Source organism: Homo sapiens, chromosome 7 (assembly GCF_000001405.40).
Source record: "Homo sapiens chromosome 7, GRCh38.p14 Primary Assembly".
Lineage (NCBI taxonomy): Eukaryota > Metazoa > Chordata > Mammalia > Primates > Hominidae > Homo > Homo sapiens.
Window position 1 is genome coordinate 151,506,768 of NC_000007.14, and position 23,001 is coordinate 151,529,768.

At 45.1% G+C, this 23,001-nt stretch overlaps 1 protein-coding gene across 3 annotated transcripts in view, besides 8 other annotated features; it reads right to left on the bottom strand.

Moving 5' to 3' along the window:
* RHEB (Ras homolog, mTORC1 binding) overlaps nucleotides 1–13,128 on the bottom strand; it is a 53,884-nt gene extending 40,756 nt beyond the window's left edge. For 2 of the 3 annotated variants that reach the window (NM_005614.4, XM_011516457.3), the window contains exon 1: nucleotides 12,693–13,128. In NM_005614.4, the coding sequence (NP_005605.1) occupies nucleotides 12,693–12,744 (52 nt within the window). In that variant the 5' untranslated portion in view covers nucleotides 12,745–13,128. Of the gene's footprint in view, nucleotides 1–11,992; nucleotides 12,211–12,692 lie in introns of those variants that run through there. The other variant, XM_024446854.2, reaches the window with a different exon arrangement.
* Nucleotides 11,259–11,308: an enhancer, noted in NCBI's record as "active region_26866". NCBI's record gives its function as "activates an Ori minimal core promoter by ATAC-STARR-seq in GM12878 lymphoblastoid cells {active_cell/tissue: GM12878}" and the evidence as "EXISTENCE:reporter gene assay evidence [ECO:0000049][PMID:35858748]".
* Nucleotides 12,339–12,448: a silencer, noted in NCBI's record as "silent region_18817". NCBI's record gives its function as "represses an Ori minimal core promoter by ATAC-STARR-seq in GM12878 lymphoblastoid cells {active_cell/tissue: GM12878}" and the evidence as "EXISTENCE:reporter gene assay evidence [ECO:0000049][PMID:35858748]".
* Nucleotides 12,339–12,808: a biological region, named in NCBI's record as "ReSE screen-validated silencer GRCh37_chr7:151216232-151216661".
* Nucleotides 12,379–12,808: a silencer, noted in NCBI's record as "fragment chr7:151216232-151216661 (GRCh37/hg19 assembly coordinates)". NCBI's record gives its function as "represses an EF-1alpha promoter that drives an FKBP-Casp9 reporter gene in an ReSE screen in HepG2 liver carcinoma cells and phorbol 12-myristate 13-acetate-treated (for megakaryocytic differentiation) K562 erythroleukemia cells {active_cell/tissue: HepG2 | K562(+PMA)}" and the evidence as "EXISTENCE:reporter gene assay evidence [ECO:0000049][PMID:32094911]".
* Nucleotides 12,519–12,638: a silencer, noted in NCBI's record as "silent region_18818". NCBI's record gives its function as "represses an Ori minimal core promoter by ATAC-STARR-seq in GM12878 lymphoblastoid cells {active_cell/tissue: GM12878}" and the evidence as "EXISTENCE:reporter gene assay evidence [ECO:0000049][PMID:35858748]".
* Nucleotides 12,809–12,968: a silencer, noted in NCBI's record as "silent region_18819". NCBI's record gives its function as "represses an Ori minimal core promoter by ATAC-STARR-seq in GM12878 lymphoblastoid cells {active_cell/tissue: GM12878}" and the evidence as "EXISTENCE:reporter gene assay evidence [ECO:0000049][PMID:35858748]".
* Nucleotides 13,139–13,488: a silencer, noted in NCBI's record as "silent region_18820". NCBI's record gives its function as "represses an Ori minimal core promoter by ATAC-STARR-seq in GM12878 lymphoblastoid cells {active_cell/tissue: GM12878}" and the evidence as "EXISTENCE:reporter gene assay evidence [ECO:0000049][PMID:35858748]".
* Nucleotides 13,529–13,578: a silencer, noted in NCBI's record as "silent region_18821". NCBI's record gives its function as "represses an Ori minimal core promoter by ATAC-STARR-seq in GM12878 lymphoblastoid cells {active_cell/tissue: GM12878}" and the evidence as "EXISTENCE:reporter gene assay evidence [ECO:0000049][PMID:35858748]".

The following is a 23,001-nucleotide window of genomic DNA, read 5'->3' on the forward strand; positions in this document are numbered from 1 at the left end:
CACCACCCATTTCATGTGCTCATGGTTCTACAGTCAACGCTGGGCTCACTTTTAGTTTACTCTTTGGGGGGCCTTTATCTGGTGGGCTGGTGGTGCTACACAGCTGGGAAGGCGGGGCATTCTCCCTTTCTCTGTGTCTCCTCCTAACATCTACTGCACATCACTTGAGGCTCCCAAGAACACAAAAGCAGAAGCTGCCAACTTCTTAGGGCTTAAAGCCTGGAACTGGCACATCACCATCTCTGCTGCATTCTGCAGGCTCAAGACAGTCACAGGGCAAGCACAGGAATACCAGGAGAGTGCCTCGTTGGGGACTAACAATAGAACAGACACCAGTAAAGCAGACTTGGTTTGTAAACGGCAGAAAAAAGACTGCAGACTCACCTGGCTTATAAATGGAATGAAACCTGAATCACCACTGTTAAAAGGCTGGAAAAACAATGAACCGCATAAAGGTTTCTATGTGTTCCTTACATGACACACAATGCCAATCATATGCTTAACAATCGTATGCACCCACTCTAGTAAGAAATGTGTAGCTCCCCCTATGGCAGGATTGGTGGTTGTTGCTTTTTCGAGAGGGAGGGGTGATATGTGTTGTATTGTGTGTGTCTATGTATATTACACACACACATATATATAGTGTCACTAAGGAAGTGTTTTGAAAAGATGTTTACGATTCTAATTGGAATACCAATCCCCACATGTCCGTCATATAGAGTCAGATGAGAGTGTGTGATGCAGAACATACACATCTTAATTATTGTACAGAACCTAAAAAGTGAGACACCGTTAGAGTTTACGGAACATTCTCACATGAATTATCTCGCTTGTTCCTGTGAGCTAAGCAGGGTTGACATCATGTTGTTCTTTCTCACACCCCTTCCCCAATTTTAAAAATAGATGCTGGGAGATTTTAAAAAAAAGAAAAAATTAAACTGCAATTATTATTATTATGACAAAGACAAGGCAGAAAAAGTAAAACTAGTTCATAAAAATACCCTTTCAAATACTTATAGGTAACCCTATTGCCAATTATTATGCTACCAGATATATACCACTGAGGAAAATAAGAAATACGTTTAATTATATAACATGAAGGACTCAGTTTCATAAATGAAGAATTTTATTAACAGGATTATTAAACTAAAGAAAAATAAAGTGCTACCCAGAAAGGCCATAAAACTGTTTCCCTGGAGATTTTCAAAACAGGATATTCATCTCTACAGGATGGTTTAAAGACAAAGCTGAGGTGGAAGGCAACAATAATAGCCCTGATAAACTGCAGGAAATTAAATGTTTAGCAACAATGAAGAATGAGTTTTCCTAGAACGGTGGCCAATCTGGAGAGAAGACCTGGGATACAGGTGAGGGTGGGAAAGAGCTAGAGAAAAGCAAAGACAAAAATTCTCTATTTCTTAACATATTAAAGAACATGAAATTTAAGAATGATCAAAACTAGTAATAACACAGTATGAGGAAAATGAGATATGAAATAGAGTATACTCATCCGTCAGCCTGAATGGTTAAAACCATTCATATTTTATAAAGATAATTTCTTCAAAAGTTCTTAAAATCTGCGCTGACCTCATTATCAACACCAATTCACTCCTCACAGTATCTGGGCTGTCTAATATGGCAGCCAGTAGCCATACATGGACAGTAAGTACCTGAAATGTGCTCAGTTCCGACTGAGATGTGTCACAGTGTAAGTATGACAAATGTACAAATATCAACAATATCCATCACATGTTGAAATAACATTTTGGACATACTGAGCTAAATTAAGTATATTAATTTCACTTATTTCTTTTTACTTAATATGCCTACTGGAAAAATCTAAAATTACATTAGGTTATATTTTTAGTTTTTTTTTTTTTTTGAGACCTCAGCCTCCCACTTTTGTAGAGACAGGGTTTCGCTGTGTTGCCCAGGTTGTTCTGGAGCTCCTGAGCTCAAGTGGTCCTCTCACCTTGGGTCCCAAAGTGCTGGGATTCTAGGCGTGAGCCACTGCACCAGGCCAGATTGTTTCCATTGGGCAAGGCTGCTCTGTACCCTTGTTTAAGGGAATAGGATCATATTATTTGTATAAATTTAGCTCCCTAAATTTGTGCTCCAGAAATACTTCCATAGAAGTCTAAAAAAATTGGAAGGTAGGCTCATTTTGTGTACAGCTCAATTTTTTAGGACACTGCTCATACAGAAACATGGTTAGATTAAGAAAGCAATTTATTATTATAAAACATATTCACACATTTTTGTAGCACTCTTATGCAGAATGAAAAGATCTAGAGAAAGAGTCCAACTCCCCCTCCCAGCAAGCAGGAATGACAAACATCCTTGTAGTAAGACACTGCCTGCCTGAGTGGGCAACGTGAGCGTGTGGGGCCACCCGGGCCCAGCAACCTCATTTGTCTCTGGGGCAACAATCCTGCGGTGTGAGGGTATGCTTGGTCAAATCCTTGGGTGACACAAGGACCCAGGGCCAGCAAACCCTCAGAACCCTACTTGTAGGCACAGCCACCTGTCTTCGGGACCATGGGAACTGTGCCCTGTGTGGGTGGTCGCTAGGGCCTCTGTGGCCAGAAAGCAAGGAAAGTGTGTGGATCTGGCAGGTGCATAAATAAATCTGGTCCACCCCTTAAACTTGCTCCTGTTCCATCATTTCTGATTTTAGCCAATGGCAACATGACCTACTCAGGCACTCACATGAGAAATCTGAAGGCTACTTCACAGCTTCCACATTGGTCTTGCCCATTCTCCCTCTAAGGAAATCTCCCATGTGCGTCCTCTTCATCTCATCTACTCTGCGCCTTGGCTGGTCTTCCCATTTCTACTCCCTTACCACCCCTCCCACTTCACAGAACAGCAGGAGGATGGAAGCCAGGATCAGCACACTACAGACCAGGGGCCAAATTTGGCCTACAGCCTGTTTTGGTTTTGTACAGTCTATGAGCTAAAAATGTTTTTTTCATCTTTAAGTGGTTGGAAAAAGAAACAGTATTTCATGATACTGAAAATCAGATGAAGTTCAAGTGTTATATCCATAAATAAAGTTTTACTAGCACACAGCCACACCCACTCGTTGATGTATTGTCTGTGGCTGCTTCCGTCCTACAAAGGCAAAGTAGAATAGCTGCAAGAGAGGCTACATGGCCTGCCCTGCAAAGCTTGAGATATTTACTATCTGGCCTTTTACAGAACAAGTCTGCCAGTCCCTGGTATAGATCATCGTCTTATTTGTTGCTTAAAACCCTTCAGTCACTTCCCACAGTTTCTAGGAAAAAGTCTAAAACTTTTCACAGAGCAGACAAAACTGTTCTTGAAGGACAGTTGGCAAACACATGAGTCCCGACCTCTCTCATTACTCACACCTCACCCTTCTCATTCACTCAGTGAGCCACACTGCCTTTCCTTTAAAGACAATTCTCCCACCACCCCCATCCCCACTTGATGATCAAGTTAGCCCTGCCTTTGATTATTTCTCTCAAACACCTATCCCAACTGTATTTAAGTAACAATCGTGTAGTAGCTGATTAAAGACTGCCTGCTCTGGAGCCACTGCCTGAGTTCAAAATCCTGGCTTTGTCACTTAACAACAGTTTGACATTGGGCAAGTCACATAAACTTTTTGTACTTCAGTTTCCTTATCTGCAAAATAGGTGTAACAACTGCACCTACCCGAGTTTAAAGGCTATTAATACATGTGCATTAAGATTGTACCCCATAACAGTAAATGCTTCAAAAGCACCAACAATTATTATTCTCAGTAGCAGGAACAAGTTCCTGTGGCTCTCAACTAGACTGAAGCTCCTTGAGGGCAAGGATTATAACTGTCCTAGCTTTTGTGACTGGTACAAAGTAGAGCATTTATTCAAATGCTTAATGAACACCTAATTTGAATAACACATAACACTCACAAACTGTCCTCTTCAACCAACAGTTGCAGTGATTCAATCTTTGGGGGCCTGGCCCAAATGTTCTCTTTCAAACAAATGCCAAATGTGATTGAGATTTTAAAGCCAGCAAAATACAGGTGCAGTGGCTCAGCCTGTGATCCCAGAACTCTGGGAGGCTGAGGTGGCTGGATCGCTTGAGTCCAGGACTTCGAGACCAGTCGAGGCAACAAGTAAGACCTCATGTCTACAAAAAAATAAAAAAATAGCCAGGGCATGGTGGCACACACCCATAGTCCCAGCTGCTCGGGAGGCTGAGGCGGGAGGATCCTTGAGGCTGGAAGGTTGAAGCTGCAGTGTGCCGAGATCGCGACATTGCACTGCAGCCTGGATGACACAGTGAGACTCCGTCTCAAAAAATAAAAAATAAAAAAAAAAATAAAGCTAGCAAAATAGGCAGACACATTTATATCTAAGACACAGAAGTCTTAGAAAAGCATTTCATCTCATAAAACTGTATTAACTGTAAAAGCCCATATTTGCATCCCCATTCACAAATTATGTACTATGCCATCAGGTAGTTATTAACATTCAACTCTCAATCCTGCAAAAGGTGGGATGGTGTATCTTGCTAAAACACCAACTTCTCTTTCAAATGTCCATGAGGAGTCCTTCTGCAAACATGTAAGCACAACAAAAAGAGAAATGCGGGAGAGAAAGACTCAATTCTACTACAGATAAGACGCAAACCAAGCAAGCATGACACTTCGGAGTGAATTCTATCACTATCTTTAAACTGCCCTGCTTTCTTAACTTGCCCATAAGAGCACAACGTAAAGGCTTTTCTAGCACTTCCTGTTCTAAACTAATACCAGTTTAGATTTAAAGCTCCAATCCTACAGGAACTCCTTTTTTTTTTTTAATAACCAGAAGCCCAACATATATTGAAGAAAATTAAAATACTAAAATAGTATTCCAGAACCTTTAAAATGTTAGATTTCTTTTTTTTTTTTTGAGATGGAGTCTTGCTCTGTCGCCCAGTGGCGCGATCTCGACTCACTGCAACCTCCCCCTTCGGGTTCAAGTGATTCTCCTGCAGGCCTCAGCCTCCCTAGTAGCTGGGATTACAGGCGCCCACCACCACGCCCAGCTAATTTTTGTATTTTTAGTAGAGACAGGGTTTCGCCAGGTTGGCCAGGCTGGTCTCGAACTCCTGACCTCAGGTGATCCACTCGCCTTGGCCTCCCAAAGTGCTGGAATTATAGGCGAGAGCCACTGCGCACAGCTGATTATATTTAAAAATCAATCCAGCAATTCATGTTAAAAGGACTCAGCAGTTTGCATTCTCACAGTTAGCAAGAATGACGTGACGAAGATAGACCGTGAGTACTGTATCAATGTTAAGATTTCATTTGGTACTTCAGAATAAATTAGAACTAAGAATGAAGGTTCCTTCAAGTATGATCCCTAAAGATTTCATAATACTCTCACTTGCACAATCATGTGCAAGTTCAGTTCTGATTTATTCAAGTAACTAAGAACAATCCAGCCATGGACACTATTACAGTTGTTTGCGAACTTGTTATTCTGAATCTTCACCCAAGAAAAGCATTGTGCATCTCTGACCTTCCACAATCACAGGTAGAGGTGGCAGTGTCTCATTCTGTGATAAAGTTGCTATTTTTACTTGTGTACTCCTCCCCACCTTCATCCTGATACTCGTATTTAAAAACTATATTATTAGTATATGGGTCTCTGGTATCCTGCTACTCTTTGCAATTTTCACTACTCTCTGGGAGCCTCGCCATCACCAGGTCCAAACACAACTCATCCAAAAATGCAACACAATCAGAGGCCAAACCAATAGGCACACAGATATCATAACTCTCCTGATGTTCTCTGGCCTCCCTCGTGCTTCCTTCCATTCTAACCACGCCAAGTTCTTTCCTGCCTTGCCATCTTTGTCTCTCACAACGCTACAGGGCCTCTCCTAGGAGGCTCTTCTAACACTGTGGGAACCATATCGCTGTGAACAGCATTTAGGATGCAGTCACTGTCAATTCGATTTTGCACAGCAGTGAACAAGATCCTAGCTTACAACAGTTTAATGGTTCTCAAAGGGTGGTCTGTGGACCTCTAAGGGGTTTACCAAAATCTTTTCAGGGGTCTCATGAGGTCAAAACGATATTCATAGCAATATTAAGTTATCATTTGCCTTTTCCACAAAGTTCCCATTTGTACTAAGGGTGCAAAAGCAATGGTAGGGAAAACTGCTAGCTCGGCACCCCTTGGCATGAATCAAAAACAGTAGTTACAAACTGAGTGGTAAGTCACTGTATTCTTTACTACCATGCATTCACAGTGGGAAAAGAGCTGTTTCTACTTAACAGTGTCCTTGAAAAAGCAGTAAAATTATATTAAATCTTGACCCTTTGGTACCTGTCTTTTTAATATTCTGCACGACAAAATGAGATGTACACATAAAGCACCTCTGTTACATACTGAAGTATGATGGTTGTTTCCAAAAAAAGCACTTGTGCAGTCATTTGAGAAGTGATCTGAACTGGCCACTTTTATCATGGAATGCCTTTTTTACTTGCAAGAATGATGACAAACTATCATTATTGCAAATGTGAATAGCTGGCAGACATTTTCTTGGAAATTAAAGAAACAAAACAGTCAATTCAAGTAAAAACTGGTAGCATGTTGCCAAGGAAATTATTTGAACTCAAGGAGGAAATTAGAATTTTGGAAAACTTGCACCACTCATAGCGAACAGTGTTCTAAAACTTAAGACTTTGCAGAGATTGGTGGTGATATTAACAAATGTGATTTTTAAAAATGCTTGTATAATAAAATGTGTCAACATGTGGAAGATCTGCGTAACGATGAACAAATATTTTCCAAATGACCAGTAACGCTACAAAACCAGGCATGGTAGAAGATCCATTCCAAGTATAAAGCAGACCTGCGGAGTTGGGCAAATTCATCAATATGATTTCAGATTGCATAGTGTAACTATTCTTTGCAAACTATCACTTATGAAGTTTCGGTATCAAAGAATATTCAACTACCTGAAAAACTATTCAAGTACTCCTTACTTCATTAAAATAACGTTAAGGGAATGAATTCAGGAGCAGAGATGAGAATCCAGCTGTTAAGACATTAAAAGATACCTGCAAAACCGTGAAACACCTTATCAAAATTGCAGTTGCTTTTTTGGCAGAAACTGGCAATCTAGTCCTAAAATTCAATATGGAAATGCAAGGGACTGAGAATACCCAAAAACATCTTCAGAAATAATAAAGTTAGAGGACTCATATGCCCCTATTTAAAAACCAGCTACAAAACTACAGTAATCAAGATCGTATGGTACTGGCAGGACAGACATACAGATCAATGGAATGAGTGAGTTCTTCTATTGACGGTCACTTCATCTCGGACAAGGGAATTCAATGAAGAAAGAACATTATTTTAACAAAAGAAGCTAGGGCAACTTGATATCCACATGCAAAAGTATAAAGTTCTATCCCTCCCTCACATCATATACAAATATTAACCACAAATAGATCACAGATCTAATGTAAGAGTTAACAGGATAAAATATCTAGAAGAAAATATAGTAGTAAATCTATATGACCTTGGATTAGGCAATGGCTTCTAAGATGTGACACCAAAAGCATAAGTGGCAGGAGAAAAATAGATATATCGGCCTTCAAATTAAAAACTTTCTGCTTTGAAGGACACCATCGAGAAGGTAAAAGGACAACCCACAGACAGGAGAAATTATTTGCAAATCCTATGATACCACTTCACACCCAATAGGATGGCTAAAATGAAAAAGGCAGTGTAACAATTGTTGACGAGAATGTGGAGAAAATTAAACCCTCATACATTGCTGATGGGAATATAAAATTGTGCAGCTGTTCTGGAAAAAATCTGACAGTTCTTCAAAATATTAAGCACAGAGTTAACCATAATGACCCAGCAATTCCACTCCTAGGAATGTACCCAAGAGAAATGAAAACATGTCTACATAAAAGCTTGTACAGGAATGTTCAAAACATTATTATTCATAGTAGCCAGAAAGTAGAGCTCCAAGTGGTGTCTCACACCTGTAATCCCAACACTGGGAGACTGAGACCAGAGGATTGCTTGAGGTCAAGAGTTCAAGACCAGCTTGGGCAACAAAGCAAGGTTCCCACCTCTACAAAAAAATAAAAAAACTAGCTGGGTGTGATGGCGCACACCTGCAGTCCTAGCTACTCGGGAAGCTGAGGCAGGAGGATCACTTGAGTCCAGGAGGTTGACACTGCAGTGAGCCATGATAGCTCCACTGCACTCCAGCCTGGGCAACAGAGCAAGACCCTGCCTCAGAAAAGTAAATAAATAAAAAATAATAGCCAAAAAAAAAAAGAAAGAAAAGAAACCACCCACATATCCAATTGACAAATGCATAGAAAAAATGTGGTATACTCACATGACAGAATATTAGTCAGCACTAAACAGGAAGAAGCGACATATGCTACAACATGAACGAACCTTGAAAACATTATACTAAGTAAAAGACGCCAGCCCCAGAAGACCACATATGTATGTTCTTATTTATATGAAATGTCCAGAGTAAGTAAATTCATAGAAACAGAAAGATTAGTGGTTGCCAGGGGCTGACAGGGAAGCAGGATGGAGAGTGACTGCTAATGAGTACAGAGTTTCTTTTTGGGGTGATGAAGTACAGAGAGATATAACCCATATGGACAGCAAAATAACATTTGGCACTGGAAAGCCATAATCAGAAATCTGAATTCTGATTATGCTCTTGTGCAGAACAATGAATGAGACTGAAAAACAGTAATTTCAAGTTTCAATACAAAGTGGGCACTTCAGGACTACCCCCACCCACAAGTATACAACATCAGAATATTAAGCACCTGAATATACAATTTCACATACTGGTAGATGTCATACATAGCAAATATTGTTTTGCCTTTCAATTTTTCAATAAAAAGTGTCAACAAATGATAGGTTAACTTAAAAAATAAACAGTAAGTCAGAATCTGCTGGGAACAACCAAATATTTAATGACATCTTTCCTCATGAAGACTCTAAATACTACCTAAACATTTTGACAAAGTAATAATTTGAGTACTTTTGCTGAATTGCCTTCTTCCAAACCACAAAGCTGTTTCATTTTCCCCCTATGATCTTTCACATGCCTGTGATCCCATCCCTCTTATTAACTGTATGTAAGAGGCTTATATATGACAACCAGCTTTTAATTATGGTCTAATGGTAAACTAGGTTACCAAAGCTCTCTGTACAGGTAAAATCCCAGTGAAAGATGTACCAGGCTGAAGACAGTTTACGTAACACTACCATTTTAAGTTGAGTTACTTCCTATCGCGGGACTACTCCGTTGTGGTAGAAATAACGGAATGTCAGGGAGCTGGTACTTTTGGCCATCACGGCAACAGTTAATACAAAGCACTCCCTGAAAGCCAGACTCCCAGAGTTATAGGTGACGTGTCCTTAAAAGCTTTAACATTGTAAATACCAGGAAAAGTACAGGGGACTGGCAGGGAGAATTGTATAGACTACCTGAGAATTATATTTTACCTATTGGTAGTTCTGACAACACTCAAAAAAAAAGAAAAAAAGAAAACGGAAAGCCAAGTAGTGGGCTGGGTGCAGTGACTCATGCCTGTAATCCCAGCACTTAGGGAGGCCGAGGCAGGTGGATCACGAGGTCAGGAGTTCAAGACCATCCTGGCCAAGATGGTGAAACCCAGTCTCTACTAAAAATACAAAAATTAGCTGGGCGGGGTGGCAGGCGCCTGTTATCCCAGCTACTTGGGAGGCTGAGGCAGGAGAATCGGTTGAACCTGGGCAGCAGAGGTTGCAGTGAGCCCAGATCCCGCCACTGCACTCCAGCCTGGGTGATAGAGTGAGACTCTGTCACAAAAAAAAAAAAAAAAAAAAAAGAAAGCCAACTAGTTAAACAAACATAGCACTTTTTTGTTTTATCTGAAGACAACTTTAAAAATAAAGTTTGTGGCATGACAAATCACAATGACAAGTATCCTACTAGTCAAACTGGCTTAATGTATTTAATCAAGAGAACATTCTAAGAAAGGTGTGGAGGCTTTTTATGTGGCTCTACCCCCAGAATATAGGACAAACAGCTCAGCATCACAAAATACCACAATCTAGAAACACAGGTACTCAAATTTCTCTGGTACAGCACCACCATTTGCAAGCAAACATGCCAGTAAGCTCCCAGAAGTGAGCATGCTGAGTAATTCTCAAAAGGGTGGCTTACTAGAAGAAACCTGCTGGCAAAACCTAATCTCCTTCCCCTAAAAAAGACCCCACATACTACAAAATATCCTGGCTCATAATACACTTTAAAATCAAATGCGGCTGGGCATGGTGGCTCACGCCTATAATCCCAGCACTTTGGGAGGCCAAGGTGGGAGGACCACCTGAGGTCAGGCGTTTGAGACAAGCCTGACGTTTGGCCAAGTGGTGAAACCCGTCTCTACTAAAAATACAAAATTAGCCGGGCATAGTGGTGCACGCCTGTAGTGCCAGCTACTCTGGAGGCTGAGGCAGGAGAATCGCTTGAGTCCGGGGCGTGGAGGATGCAGTGAGCCGAGATCGCGCCATTGCACTCCAGCCTGGGTCACAAGAGCGAAACTCCGTCTCGGAAAAAAAAAAAAAAAAAAATCAAATACAAGATTGGGAGCAACTTAACCTCTCCAAAATCGTTTAATATGACTACGCTTGAAAATAAATATGGAGAAGTGGGGTAGGTTGCAGAAATATGAAATACTGAAGACAGAAAATAGGGACTAAAAGTGACCCTGTATCCCACCGGAGACTAAGTTAGCACAGTATTTAACAAGCAACAGTTTGTGAGGACAAGGCTAAGGGGTGGCCTGTCACATCTCCGTCCTCAGGAGGACGCTGAATAGAGGGAAGATAAAACAGAATGGATTTCAACTGGACATAAGGAACTTCTGTAGCCAAAAAAAAAAAAAAAAAAGTGATAAAACTAGCCCTGCTCACCAAAGACTAGAGCTACCATTTCGACATTTGAAAAGGGTAAATCAGTCAAGATCTTTAGGTCATTCTCTTGGGTTGAAATCAGGTAGCCGAGGTACTTGTTGCCTATAACGTGATTATTCAGGGACTACTATTTCCAAATAGTTGCCAATAAGTACTTACTTGACTGACTAGGGAAGGCTCACCCAAGAGCCAGAACACCTCGCGGTCCCAACTCCTCAAAATGCAGAGGAGGAAATCAAGAGAACAGAGACAAGAGCATGGATTCAGGCTGCCAATAAAGGCTGGATCCCAGGTTCCATGTTGATATTTGAACAATTAGTGACTTTGAACCCCTCCATTTGATTCATGGTTACTTCCTGGCTGCAGCTGTTAAAGCTGCCACCTATGCATCCCCTCGGATTCAGCACCGCATCGCACAAGAGTTCCCCTACGACTCTAGGCACCCCGCATCTCTAGCCAAGCTTCTTTCAGCCCTTAATTTCCCCCCGGCTCTCGACGGAGAGGTGGTAAAAGGATGAGTAAGCATGCAGTGGCTGATCTTGGTCAAAGAGCACAGACCCTGGCACAGGCGGTGGAAAGCGCAGTTGGGGAGTGCATCCAGTGAGCGGCAGGCAGGTACAAGCTTCCCATGACAGATAGTCACCCCGTTCCGCAATCACGGGAGCCTCGGAACCCTCGCTTTCACCTCCCCATCCCCTCAACTGTGGCCCGGTGCACGCCTTCTATAGACAGTTACTTCAAAACAGCCCGAAAAGATGAACTAATTTCTCCAGGCTTCCGGATGTCGGGAGACAATACAGCCTCACCCTGAAGCGTGTCTAAGTTCAATCGCTCTGGTTTCACACAGGCCAGAAAACCGCTCGTTCTGTAACACCCCGTCCGCCCCCCAACCCGACCCTAAGCCACCTTATTCAGCAATAAGGCGACTGCTAGGAACTGTTTCAAATGTATGTCAACCTTTTGGGGGAAGAAAAAGAAAACAAAAAGACTTTGGAATTACTTCAACAGCCTGGTTGCAAGTACCTGACCTTATTCCTTCCCGAACAAAAATAGGGCACCGAGAGATCAGACATTCCTTTTTCTCTGTCTTCCTACCCAGGCCGCCAGCAGCATCTCGAGGGCCTCCAGAGGGACCTCTTTTGGGGGATCGCCTAGGTTTCCTATGCAGAAAACTTGCGTTCAGTGCCCAAACGTCCTCTAAATCCCTAGTTTTCTTTACAAGGGTAAACTTCACCACAGATGGAATGAAGCCGAGGCGCTGCTTCCTTTGTTAAAATCCCACGGACTTTCTTTTCCTTACATCGGGGGCGGGGTGGGGGAGACCGCCAGCCCCGGTCACGCGCGCCCGCGGCGAAGGCGGGGAGGCAGGTGTGACTCCCTCGCGGCAGCCTCTAGCGCGGCTCCCCGGCGCCGCCTCACTTCCCCAGACGAGACCCGGACTCCTCGGCGGCCGACGGCCCCCGCCCCGCGCCTCCCACGCCCTCCGCCCGGCCGCCACCTGCCCGCCCGGCCCGCGGAGGGCGCCCAGCTACCGCGGCTCCTCCACCGGCGCGGACGCCGCCCCGACCGCCACCACCTCCGCTCAGAATGGTGGTTACGAAACGCGCGGCCCCCGCCCGCCCCGCCACATGGCCGCGCCGGCTCCAAACTTCGCAGGCCCGGCCGCGACCCGGCTCCCAGGCGAGGCCCCGGCGGCGCGAGGAGGCCGCGCGGCCACCGGCCACTCACCCACAGACCGGTAGCCCAGGATCGCGATCTTCCGGGACTTGGACTGCGGCATCTTGGCGGCCTCCTCAGCCCCGGCCCAACCACATCAACCGCGGCGGCGGTGGCTCCTGCTGCTGTGATCGGCGGCGGCCGCGCCGGGAGAGAGCGGCATACAGAGCAGGGGCGGCGGCGGGCGCGGCTGCCTCTCGCTCGCTAGCTCGCGCGCTCCCAACCGCCCGGAACCGACCGCGCGGCGGCGCCCCTCCCCCCCACAACACGCCCACGTGACCGGCCGGCGTCAGCACCGCCCCTCTTCGCGCCGTGGCCCGCCGCCTCCGCCCCCCGAAATACGCGGGGGGTGCGTCGGGGCGACGTTTTACTTTAAAGGCAAAAAAAGGGGACGCCGCGATGCCCCCAGAAAAGTCACGACTGAAACTCGCTGCGTCATGACCCTCCCACCTTCTTCCGCCGCTTTTTAATTACGCCATTCTCCCCGAGCGCCGATTGGACAGCTCCTGCACAGCCGCGCGATGACGTGTCGGAAACTCCATCTCCCATTGGGGGAAACAAGGAGGCGGGGAGGGGGGGGCGGGGCTGCCCGCCCGGGAGCTAAAAATACACCTCGCTGCTACCGCGCTGTTGGGCGCCGGCTAGGTTTGAAGGCTTCAAACTTCCAACCGGTTAGGGGCGGGCGGGAGAGGCGGAGAGACAAACGGTGGCTCCCTGGTGATTGGCCAGAACGGAGCGCAGGGCGGGGCAATAGGTGGGAGGTGCGGTGATTGGCGAAACGCTAAGCGGTTGGCGGGTTCGCGCCCGCTGAGCCCGTGAAGGGCGCGAGGCGCGTGGCCTGGGCGGGTGGGCTGGCTCCTCCCTCGGGGTTTTTTGAAAATTCTCCTTGAGCTGCGTTAGCGTTCGTGTCTGGGTTTGAGGATGTAGTGGTGACTAAGCGTCACCGACGGCCGAAGGACTGTGGGAAGCATGGAGTCTGCGTTAATTCAAAGTGTTAGGAATTTCATTAAAAACAGGGCGAGCCTCGTCAGTTCTGGTGTCCGCTTCGCTTCGCGCGGAGCTCGGCGCACCTCCTGGAACAGCGCCGGGGCGGGAAGCCGGTTCTCCGCCAGCACCGGGGCGGCTGGTGCGGCGGGCAGGCCCGAGCCGGGTGCCAGGAACGCCTCGGGCCGCGGTGTGGACGGGCGGAGACCGTGGTGTGGGCACAGCCTTCCCAGGGGTGCAGTGCAGAGGGGCGCGGGAAGGGAAGCCCGGCCGGGAACGCAGGTGCCGTTGAGGGACCAGCCTGCAGGCAGGCCCGGCGTGGTGGCTGCTGGAGGGCTTGGCACTTGCCGAGTTAGCAGAGACTCCGCCGCGCCGGGGAACCCGCCCCTATTCTGCCCAGGCTGTTTGGCAGTGGGGACCTGCAGAGGCCGGGCATGGCCCTTCGCCCTTTGCCAGTGATCGGTGGGGAGGAATGAAGCCAGGGGAAGCTGAGTGGCAGGCCTTGTATTCCAGCGTAGGAAGGTTTAGAGGTGACTGGAGTCGACTTGGAACACCCAACCCAAGAGCGACTCCCTCCAGCTTTCCCACGGAAGCACTCCGATGAGGGGCTGGGGTGTGCATTCTTGTCCTCGGGGATCTACAGATGGAAGCCCCAGGCAGCCAGCCAGAAGTGATCAATGTCTGGAAGTTCTATGTTTCCATGAAATGTTGAGGTTTACGCTATAGTTATTTTAAGTATTTTAAAATAAAGGTCTTAAAATGCACTCTCCTGTAAAATGTGTCGTTTTTATCCTGTGGATTCGGATACCCTCACCACGGTGTTTTTGAACAGATGCTACTAAATTCCTTGCATTATAAAATCAGTTTAGTTTTACCTTTTTTTAAAAAAAATAGAACAGAATAGAAAACTGCGTTATGCATAGTAAGGGTAAGTATGTGTCCTCATTAGTACAGTGGTGAGTTAAAAAAATGAGTAAGGGTAAGTTTGTGTAAGTGCACGTGTAGATATATATGTTTATAGATATGCTATATATGTATTATTGCATGTTGGGATTTACTGTAGTTTCTTTCTTTTTTTTTTTTGAGACGGAGTCTCTCTCTGTCGCCCAGGCTGGAGTGCAGTGGCGCAATCTCGGCTCACTGCAAGCTCCGCCTTCCGGGTTCGCGCCATTCTCCTGCCTCAGCCTCCCGAGTAGCTGGGACCACAGGCGCCCGCCACGACGCCTGGCTAATTTTTGTATTTTTAGTAGAGATAGGGTTTCACCATACTGGCCAGGATGGTCTCGACCTCTCGACCTCATGACCCGCCCGCCTCGGCCTCCCAAAGTGCTGGGATTACAGGCGTGAGCCACCGTGCCCGGCCTCATTGTAAAGTTTCTTACAGTGGGTTGCTTCAAAAAGTTTGAAAGCACTGCCCTAGCCTGAGAATATTGGTAATCCAGATGTGAAGCACAGTTGTAAAGGACAAATTCATTCAAAAAGTTTTCCAGGCTGGGCGCGGTGGTTCACACCTGTAATCCCAGCACTTTGGGAGGTCGAGGCAGGCGGATCACGAGGTCAGGAGTTCCAGACCAGCCTGGCCAACATGGTGAAACCCCGTCTTTACTAAAAATACAAAAATTAGCCAGGCGTGGTGGCACATGCCTGTAATCCTAGCTACTCAGGAGGCTGAGGCAGGAGAATTGCTTGAAACTGGAAGGCGAGGTTGCAGTGAACTCAGATAGCGCCACTGCACTCCAGCCTGGGCAAAACAGTGAGACTCTGTCTCAAAAAAAAAAAAAAAAAAGTTTTCCAGTTGCTGTCTTCAAGCCCTTTAATGTAGGATCCAAAGGTTTAGAAGATTCCTTTATTCTAGAGTGGGGAGAATTTGTTTGGTTTGAAAAGTGACTTAGCCAGCCTGGGGAACATGGAGAAAAGCTGTTTCTACAAAGAAATACAAAAAAAAAGCCGGGCGTGGTGGAACCTGCCTGTAGTCCCAGCTACGTGGAGGGCTGAGGTGGGAGGATCACTTGACCCCAGGAGGTCGAGGCCGCAGTGAGCTGAGATGGTGCCACTGCACTTCAGCCTGGGTGACAAAGTGAGACCTTGTCTTAAAAAAAAAAAAAAAAAAAGAAATGGCTCAGATTACCTAAAATAGTAGGGACTCATTGTCTGAATTCACATGGAAATACCTGACTGCAACCAGACAGCAACAGTGTTGGAAGAAATGGACTTGCTTTTGTATTCAAAGTAGCTCCCTTATTGGTGGCTAACTCAGTCACCTTTGACTTTGCAGCAGCTGGAAGGTCTGCTGCCACCAGTCAGCTTCTCCTCAGCAGGTCCTGCTTGTTCGGGAGTGCTCGAGTCCTCAGCCTGCTGCCTTCTCTCTGTGTGTACTTCCACTTCTGTTCCCTTTCCCTGCGAACTAAGAACTATGTGTCTTCTGTTAAGTTCCCAGAGAGAGAACATCATCGGTTCTGTTAATTCCCATCATCCCTTGAGTGAGGAGCTCATGCTAAGCATGTAGATTGTCCAGAGGGGTCTCTGCTGACCTACACCTCTGACGGCTGGTGGTTATGGAAGTTCTTTGAAATTTGGACATCTGATATTATGGGGTTTGTATTAACTTTCCATGAGCACTTCCAAGCCCAGTATCTGATTTCTAGTTCCAACATATTTGTTTTAAGTACCAGAGATAACATACAAAACCTTTTCCCCCTACCACTGGGTTACACCAAGGTCAGAGTAAAAAACCACTGCTGTGATTGTTTTTACCAAAAGGACATTCTTTTATGTGGAAAAGGGTGACCCCAATGAAAGTAGACATTAAGGAGTTTTGTGGTTTGGTTTGGTTTTTAAAAATATTTGATGAGGGAAGAATGGAGAAGAACCAGAATCCTCTTGATCTTGGCATAAGCCAAATCAGACTGAACTGTTATGTCTCACACTGGTGTCATTCCAAATCAAACAATGCATGCAAAGGTTATTCTATTATGTGGTCATCTTATTGGAGTCAAAGGGGCAGGTCCTTTGTGGATGGAAGAGGGGTTTCCTTGGTGGGGAGTTGACTGTCCTGTCCGCAGCGTTGTAGGATGAAAGCCATCCTGGGAAAGGTGAATTCCCTGAATTTCACTGGGAGGAAGGTAAATCCTGCCCTCTCTGACATACGGGATCAGTTTGGTCTGAACTCTGAGGTATGGAGTTGCATGGAGTCCTCCCAGAAGAGGGAATGTGGAGTAAGCCAGCCCTAAGGCCATGCAGGTAGGGCATGTTTGAGAGAGGGCTGGCTCAGCAAAGAACTCTGAGGACAGGTCTGGGGTTATACAGTAGTTGTAAATTGTTCTCAACTGTTCTCAATTGTTACAGGTTGAATTTGTCCCCCGCCAAAAGATATGTTGAAGTCCTACCCTTTCAGAATGTGACCTTATTTGGAAATAGGCCATTGCAGATGTAATTAGTTGAGATGAGATCATATTGGAGTAGGGTAGGCCAATCCAGTATGACTAGTATCTTCATAAGAAGAGACACAGACATGCAAGAGATGGTCAACGTGAAGACCAAGGTGGAGACTGGAGTGACGTCTTAAGCTAAGGAACTCCTGGGGCTACCTGAACCTGGAAGAGGCAAGGAAATGTCCATTCCTAGTGACTTCAGAGGGAACACGGCCCTTCTGACACTGATTTCCGGCTTCCGGCTTCCAGAACTGTGAACAAATTTATCTTGTTTTAAGCCACCCAGTTTGCGGCACTTTGTTATGGCAGCTATAGGAAACTAACACATTAACTGTCCTCAAATTTTCAAGAAAGTTTCATTAAAAGTTCAAATCTGGTTTCTGCTGGGCTGTGAATGAAGTTGGCTTCTCCCATCCCCAAGACCAGGATGTTCCTAGTAGGAGCCTTCACCAGCAGCAGGCTGCCAAGCCCAGCAATCTCCTGAGGTTGCTGGTAGCAGTGGCCAGGCAAAATGGTTGGAGCAGAACACACACGTAGGACCTGTTCCTAAGAACCCATGCAAAGGCACCTGGGAGACACGCAGGAAGGGCCAGGAGGCCCCTTCCTTGCAATAAAACAGGTGATGGCTCGTGCCTGCACAGCTTGGATTACATGTGATCCTCAGATGCGTCTTAGATGTGGATTTAGTCACGGGGTTAGCAAGCCACTGAGAGATATGCTAATAATTAACATTTGAGGGACGTATTCACTATCGGTTCATCCGCCTATGTGAAGAGTTGTCTTATTCAGCATATTGGGCTCCAGAGAGTTTCTTCTATTGTGGTGCAGGAAAAAAAATAGAACTTCTATCTTAAACATTTTTCTTTAAAAACAAAAAAAAATTGAGCTTTGCTAATATGTAATACATGGACTGACCACAGCACTCTCACTCAGTCTGTATGGTGGATGGTGGCATGTGATGACCGGTACATGTATCACAACAGAGACGCATTAGCACCATTGCCTTGAGTGTTTAGTGTTGAGAATTTTATAACATATTGCTTGTCACATGCTTGGTTATGAGGAACTACAGAATACATTACTTAATTTCTGCTAAATTAAACCAAACCTCACCAAACAGCCATTGGCCTAAAATATTACCTTCAAAGAAATCATGAATTAACGATGAGAATAAATATGCAATATAAGCATATACTAAGAAAAATGGCAGAGCTGCCACCTCTTCCTGTATGAGCTCTTTGCAGCTACATTAAAGGTATACATGATGGTCTAATCATATCTGACAAGAAAATCACCAAAAAAGTGAAATATGACAGGAGCATTTAAAATATGAATTCACATCTACTATTTCTGATGACTAAGTGTAGCTACACTTTGAGATACTTGCTAATGATATAGTGTCTCTTACAAATAGCAAGATGTTTACAAACTAAGCCTCCAAAACATGAAGACAGACATGATATACACATTTTACTACCACCTTTTTTAAAAAAATATATATATATATATCAGGCTGGGCGCGGTGGTTCACATCTGTAATCCCAGCACTTTGGGAGGCCGAGGCGGGCAGATCACGAGGTTGGGAGATCGAGCCCATCCTGGCTCACATGGTGAAACCCCATCTCTACTAAAAATATAAAAAATTAGCCGGGCATGGTGGCGGGCACCTGTAGTCCCAGCTACTCGGGAGGCTGAGGCAGGAGAATGGAGGGAACCCGGGAGGCAGAGCTTGCAGTGAGCCAAGATCGTGCCACTGCACTCCAGCCTGGGCAACAGAGAGAGACTCCATCTCAAAAAAAAAAAAAAGAATGCATATCAAAACTGTATCAGTGCAATAAGCTGCTGCACCCATCACCTGCTTCAGTGTTTACTGAATCACAGACAACCCTGTTTTTTTGTTTGTTCGGTTGGTTGGTTGGTTGGTTTTTTTTTTTGAGATGCAGTCTCGCTCTGTCACCCAGGCTGGAGTACAGTGGTGCGACCTTGGCTCACCGCATCCTCCACCTCCCAGATTCAAGCGATTCTCCTGCCTCAGCCTCTCGGGTAGCTGGAATTACAGGCATGTGCCACTGCACCTAGCTAATTTTTTGTGTTTTTAGCAGAGACGGGGTTTCACTATGTTAGCCAGGCTGGTCTTGAACTCCTGGCCTTAAGTGATCCACCCGCCTCGGCCTCCCAAAGTGCTAGGATTACAGGCATGAGGCACTGCACCTGGTCGACAATCTTGTTTCTTCTTCATCTGTATCCTACCCACTTCCCCCATCCACACATGGATTTTTTTTTAAATTTATTTTGGAGACAGAGTCTTGCTCTGCTGCCTAGGCTGGAGGGCAGCGGCGTGATCTTGGCTCACTGCAACCTCTGCTTTTCAGGTTCAAGTGATTCTCGTGCCTCAGCCTCTCAAGTAGCTGGGATTACAGGCACATGCCACCATGCCCAGCTAATTTTTGTATTTTTAGTAGAGATGGGGTTTCACCATGTTGGCCAGGCTGGTCTTGAACTCCTGACCTTAAGTGATCCACCCGCCTCGGCCTCCCAAAGTGCTAGGATTACAGGAATGAGGCACTGCACCTGGTCGACAATCTTGTTTCTTCTTCATCTGTATCCTACCCACTTCCCCCATCCACACATGGATTTTTTTTTTAATTTATTTTGAAGATAGAGTCTTGCTCTGCTGCCTAGGCTGGAGGGCAGCGGCGTGATCTTGGCTCACTGCAACCTCTGCTTTTCAGGTTCAAGTGATTCTCGTGCCTCAGCCTCTCAAGTAGCTGGGATTACAGGCACATGCCACCATGCCCAGCTAATTTTTGTATTTTTAGTAGAGATGGGGTTTCACCATGTTGGCCAGGCTGGTCTTGAACTCCTGGCCTGAAGTGATCCACCCACCTCGGCCTCCCAAAGTGCTGGGATTACAGGTGTGAGCCACTATACCCATGCCATAGATTGTTTTGAAGCAAATCCTAAATATTATACATTTCATTCATAAATATTTCAGTATTTTCTTAAAGATGACTTTAAAACTATAATATCCATGTTTACATGGAAAACAAAACCAGGTAAGGAATGCTTTTTTTTTTCTTTTTCACCATGGATGGCACACTGGACTTTTATTTTTCTTGTTTTAGAAAAATTTATTTTATTTTTAGTAGAGACAAGGTCTCACTATGTTGCCCAGGCTGGTCTCAAATTCCTGACCTCAAGCAATCCTCCCTGCTCGGCATCTGAAAGTTCGGGGATTACAGGCATGGGCCACCAAGACCAGCTAAGGAATCCTTAAATACCATCAAATATCCAAACTATTTACATTTCTTCTAACATGTTTTTTTTTTAAATATTATCATTTTATTTATTATTTATTTTTTGAGATAGAGTCTCGCTCTGTCGCCCATGCTGGAGTGCAGTGGTGCCATCTCAGCTCACTGCAACCTCCGCCTCCCAGGTTCAAGCGATTCTCCTGCCTCAGCCTCCTGAGTAGCTGGGACTACAGGTGCATGCCACCACGCCCGGCTAATTTTTTGAATTTTTAGTAGAGATGGGGTTTCACCATTATTACCCAGCATGGTTTCAGTCTCCTGACCTCGTGATCCGCCCTCCTTGGCCTTCCAAAGTGCTGGGATTACAGACGTGAGCCACCACTCCCGGTCTTTTAATAATATTTTTAATATAAATAGAGATGGGGGGGTCTCACTATGTTGCCCAGGCTGGTCTTGAACTCCTGGACACAAGCCATCCTCCCACCTCAGCCTCCCAGAGTGCTGAGATTACAGGCGTGAGCTGCCATGCCAAATTTCTCCTAACATTTCATAGTTCTCTTTTTCTTTCTTTCTTTTTTTTTATTGAGACATAGTCTCGCTCTGTCACCCAGGCTGGAGTGCAGTGGCACCATCTGGGCTCACTGCAACCTCCGCTGCCCGGGTTCAAGCGATTCTCGTGCCTCAGCCTCCCAAGTAGCTGGGACTACAGGCTTCTGCCGCCATGCCCAGCTAATTTTTGTATTTTTAGTAGAGATGAGGTTTCGCCATGTTTGCCAGCCTGGTCTCAAACTCCTGACCTCAGGTGATCCGCCCACCTTGGCCTCCCAAAGTGCTGGGATTACAGGTGCGAGCCACCACGCCTGGCCAGGTTTCATAGTTTTCTTTACAATTTGTTTGTTCAATTCAGGATCCAAATAAGATCCATATATTGCAACTGTTTGCTATGTTGTTTAAGTTTCTTTGTTATTTTTAATAAATTTTATTTTTTGGAACACTTTTAGATATATAGAAAAATTGCAAAGCTAATACACAGAGTTCTTATATATCCTGCATCCAGTTTCACCCATTATTAACACCTTACATTAGTGTGGTACATTCGTTATAATTAATTAACCAATACTGATGTTATTTTTTACTAAAGTTCATACATTATTCAGATCTTCTCCCTCTTCCCCGATATCCTTTATCTGCCCAGGATCCCACCCAGAACACCCCTTTACATTTAATGGTCCTGCCTCAGGCTCCACTTGACTGATAGTTTCTCAGACTTTTCTTTTTCTTTTTTTTGAGAGGTAGTCTCACTCTGTCACCCAGGCTGGAGTGCAGTGGTGCGATCTCGGCTCACTGCAAGCTCCACCTCCTGAGTTCACACCATTCTCCTGCCTCAGCCTCCCAAGTAGCTGGTACAGGCGCCCACCACCACGCCCGGCTAATTTTTTTGTATTGTTAGTAGAGACGGGGTTTCACCTTGTTAGCCAGGATGGTCTCGATCTCCTGACCTCGTGATCTGCCCGCCTCGGTCTCCCGAAGTGCTGGGATTACAGGTGTGAGCCACCGCGTTCAGCCAATTTCTCAGACTTTTCTTGTTTGTGACGACCTTGGCAGTTTTGAGGAGTACTCATCAGGTGTTTTGTAGAATGTTCCTCAAGTGAGATTTGTTTGATGGTTTTTTTAGGTCTAGACCAGGATGGGAATATTTTTTGGGAGGGGGAAGATCACAGAGGTGAAGTTCCATTTTCATCACACTGTCTCAAGGGTACCCTGTCAACACACTGTATTACTGTTGATAGTAACCTTGATCATCTGGCTGAGGTAGAGTTTGTCAGATTTCTCCACTGTAAACATACTCTTTTCTTCTCTTTTTCCATACTGTCCTGTTGGGCAGGAAGTCTTACAAAGCCCTCACATTAAAAAAAAAGTGAGTTATGCCTTCTTTACCCCTTTTACCTTCTACCTGAGGTTTCCCTTAGTCTTGTAGTCTCCCGGAAACAAGTTCAGCATTTATTTATCTGCAAGTGTCTTTATTTCATTTCTTTAACTTTTTGTTTTAAAGATTATAGATTAATAGGTAGTTTCAAAAATATTATAGAAAGGTCCTGTGAACCACTCCCAATGGTAACATCTTACATACATATAGTACAATTTCAAAACTGAGATTGAAATTGATCTTACTCAGACTTCACCAGCTTTACACATACTCATTTGTGTGCCTATGTATATGTAGTTCTGTTCAATTTTATTACATGTGTAGATTTGTGTAACCAAAACCACAACCAAGATACAGAGCTGTTCTAGCTGGGAACAGTGGCTCATGCCTGTAATCCCAGCACTTTGGGAGGCCGAGGCAGGCAGATTGCTTAAGTCCAGAAGTTCGGGACCAGCCTGGGCAACGTGGTGAAACCCCACTCTACAAAAGATATGAAAATTTTGCTGGAGATAGTGGTGCACGCCTGTAGTCCCAGCTACTGTGGAGGCTGAGGTGGGAGGATTGCTTGAGCCTGAGAAGCAGAGGTTGCAGAGCCTGTCTCAAAAAAAAAAAAAAAAAAAAAAAAAGAAAAGAAAGACACAGAACTGCTCCATCACCACGAAATCTTCCTCATGCTACCCTTTTATTCCTCTTCACTTTTAAACTTTTTAAAATTTTTTAAATTT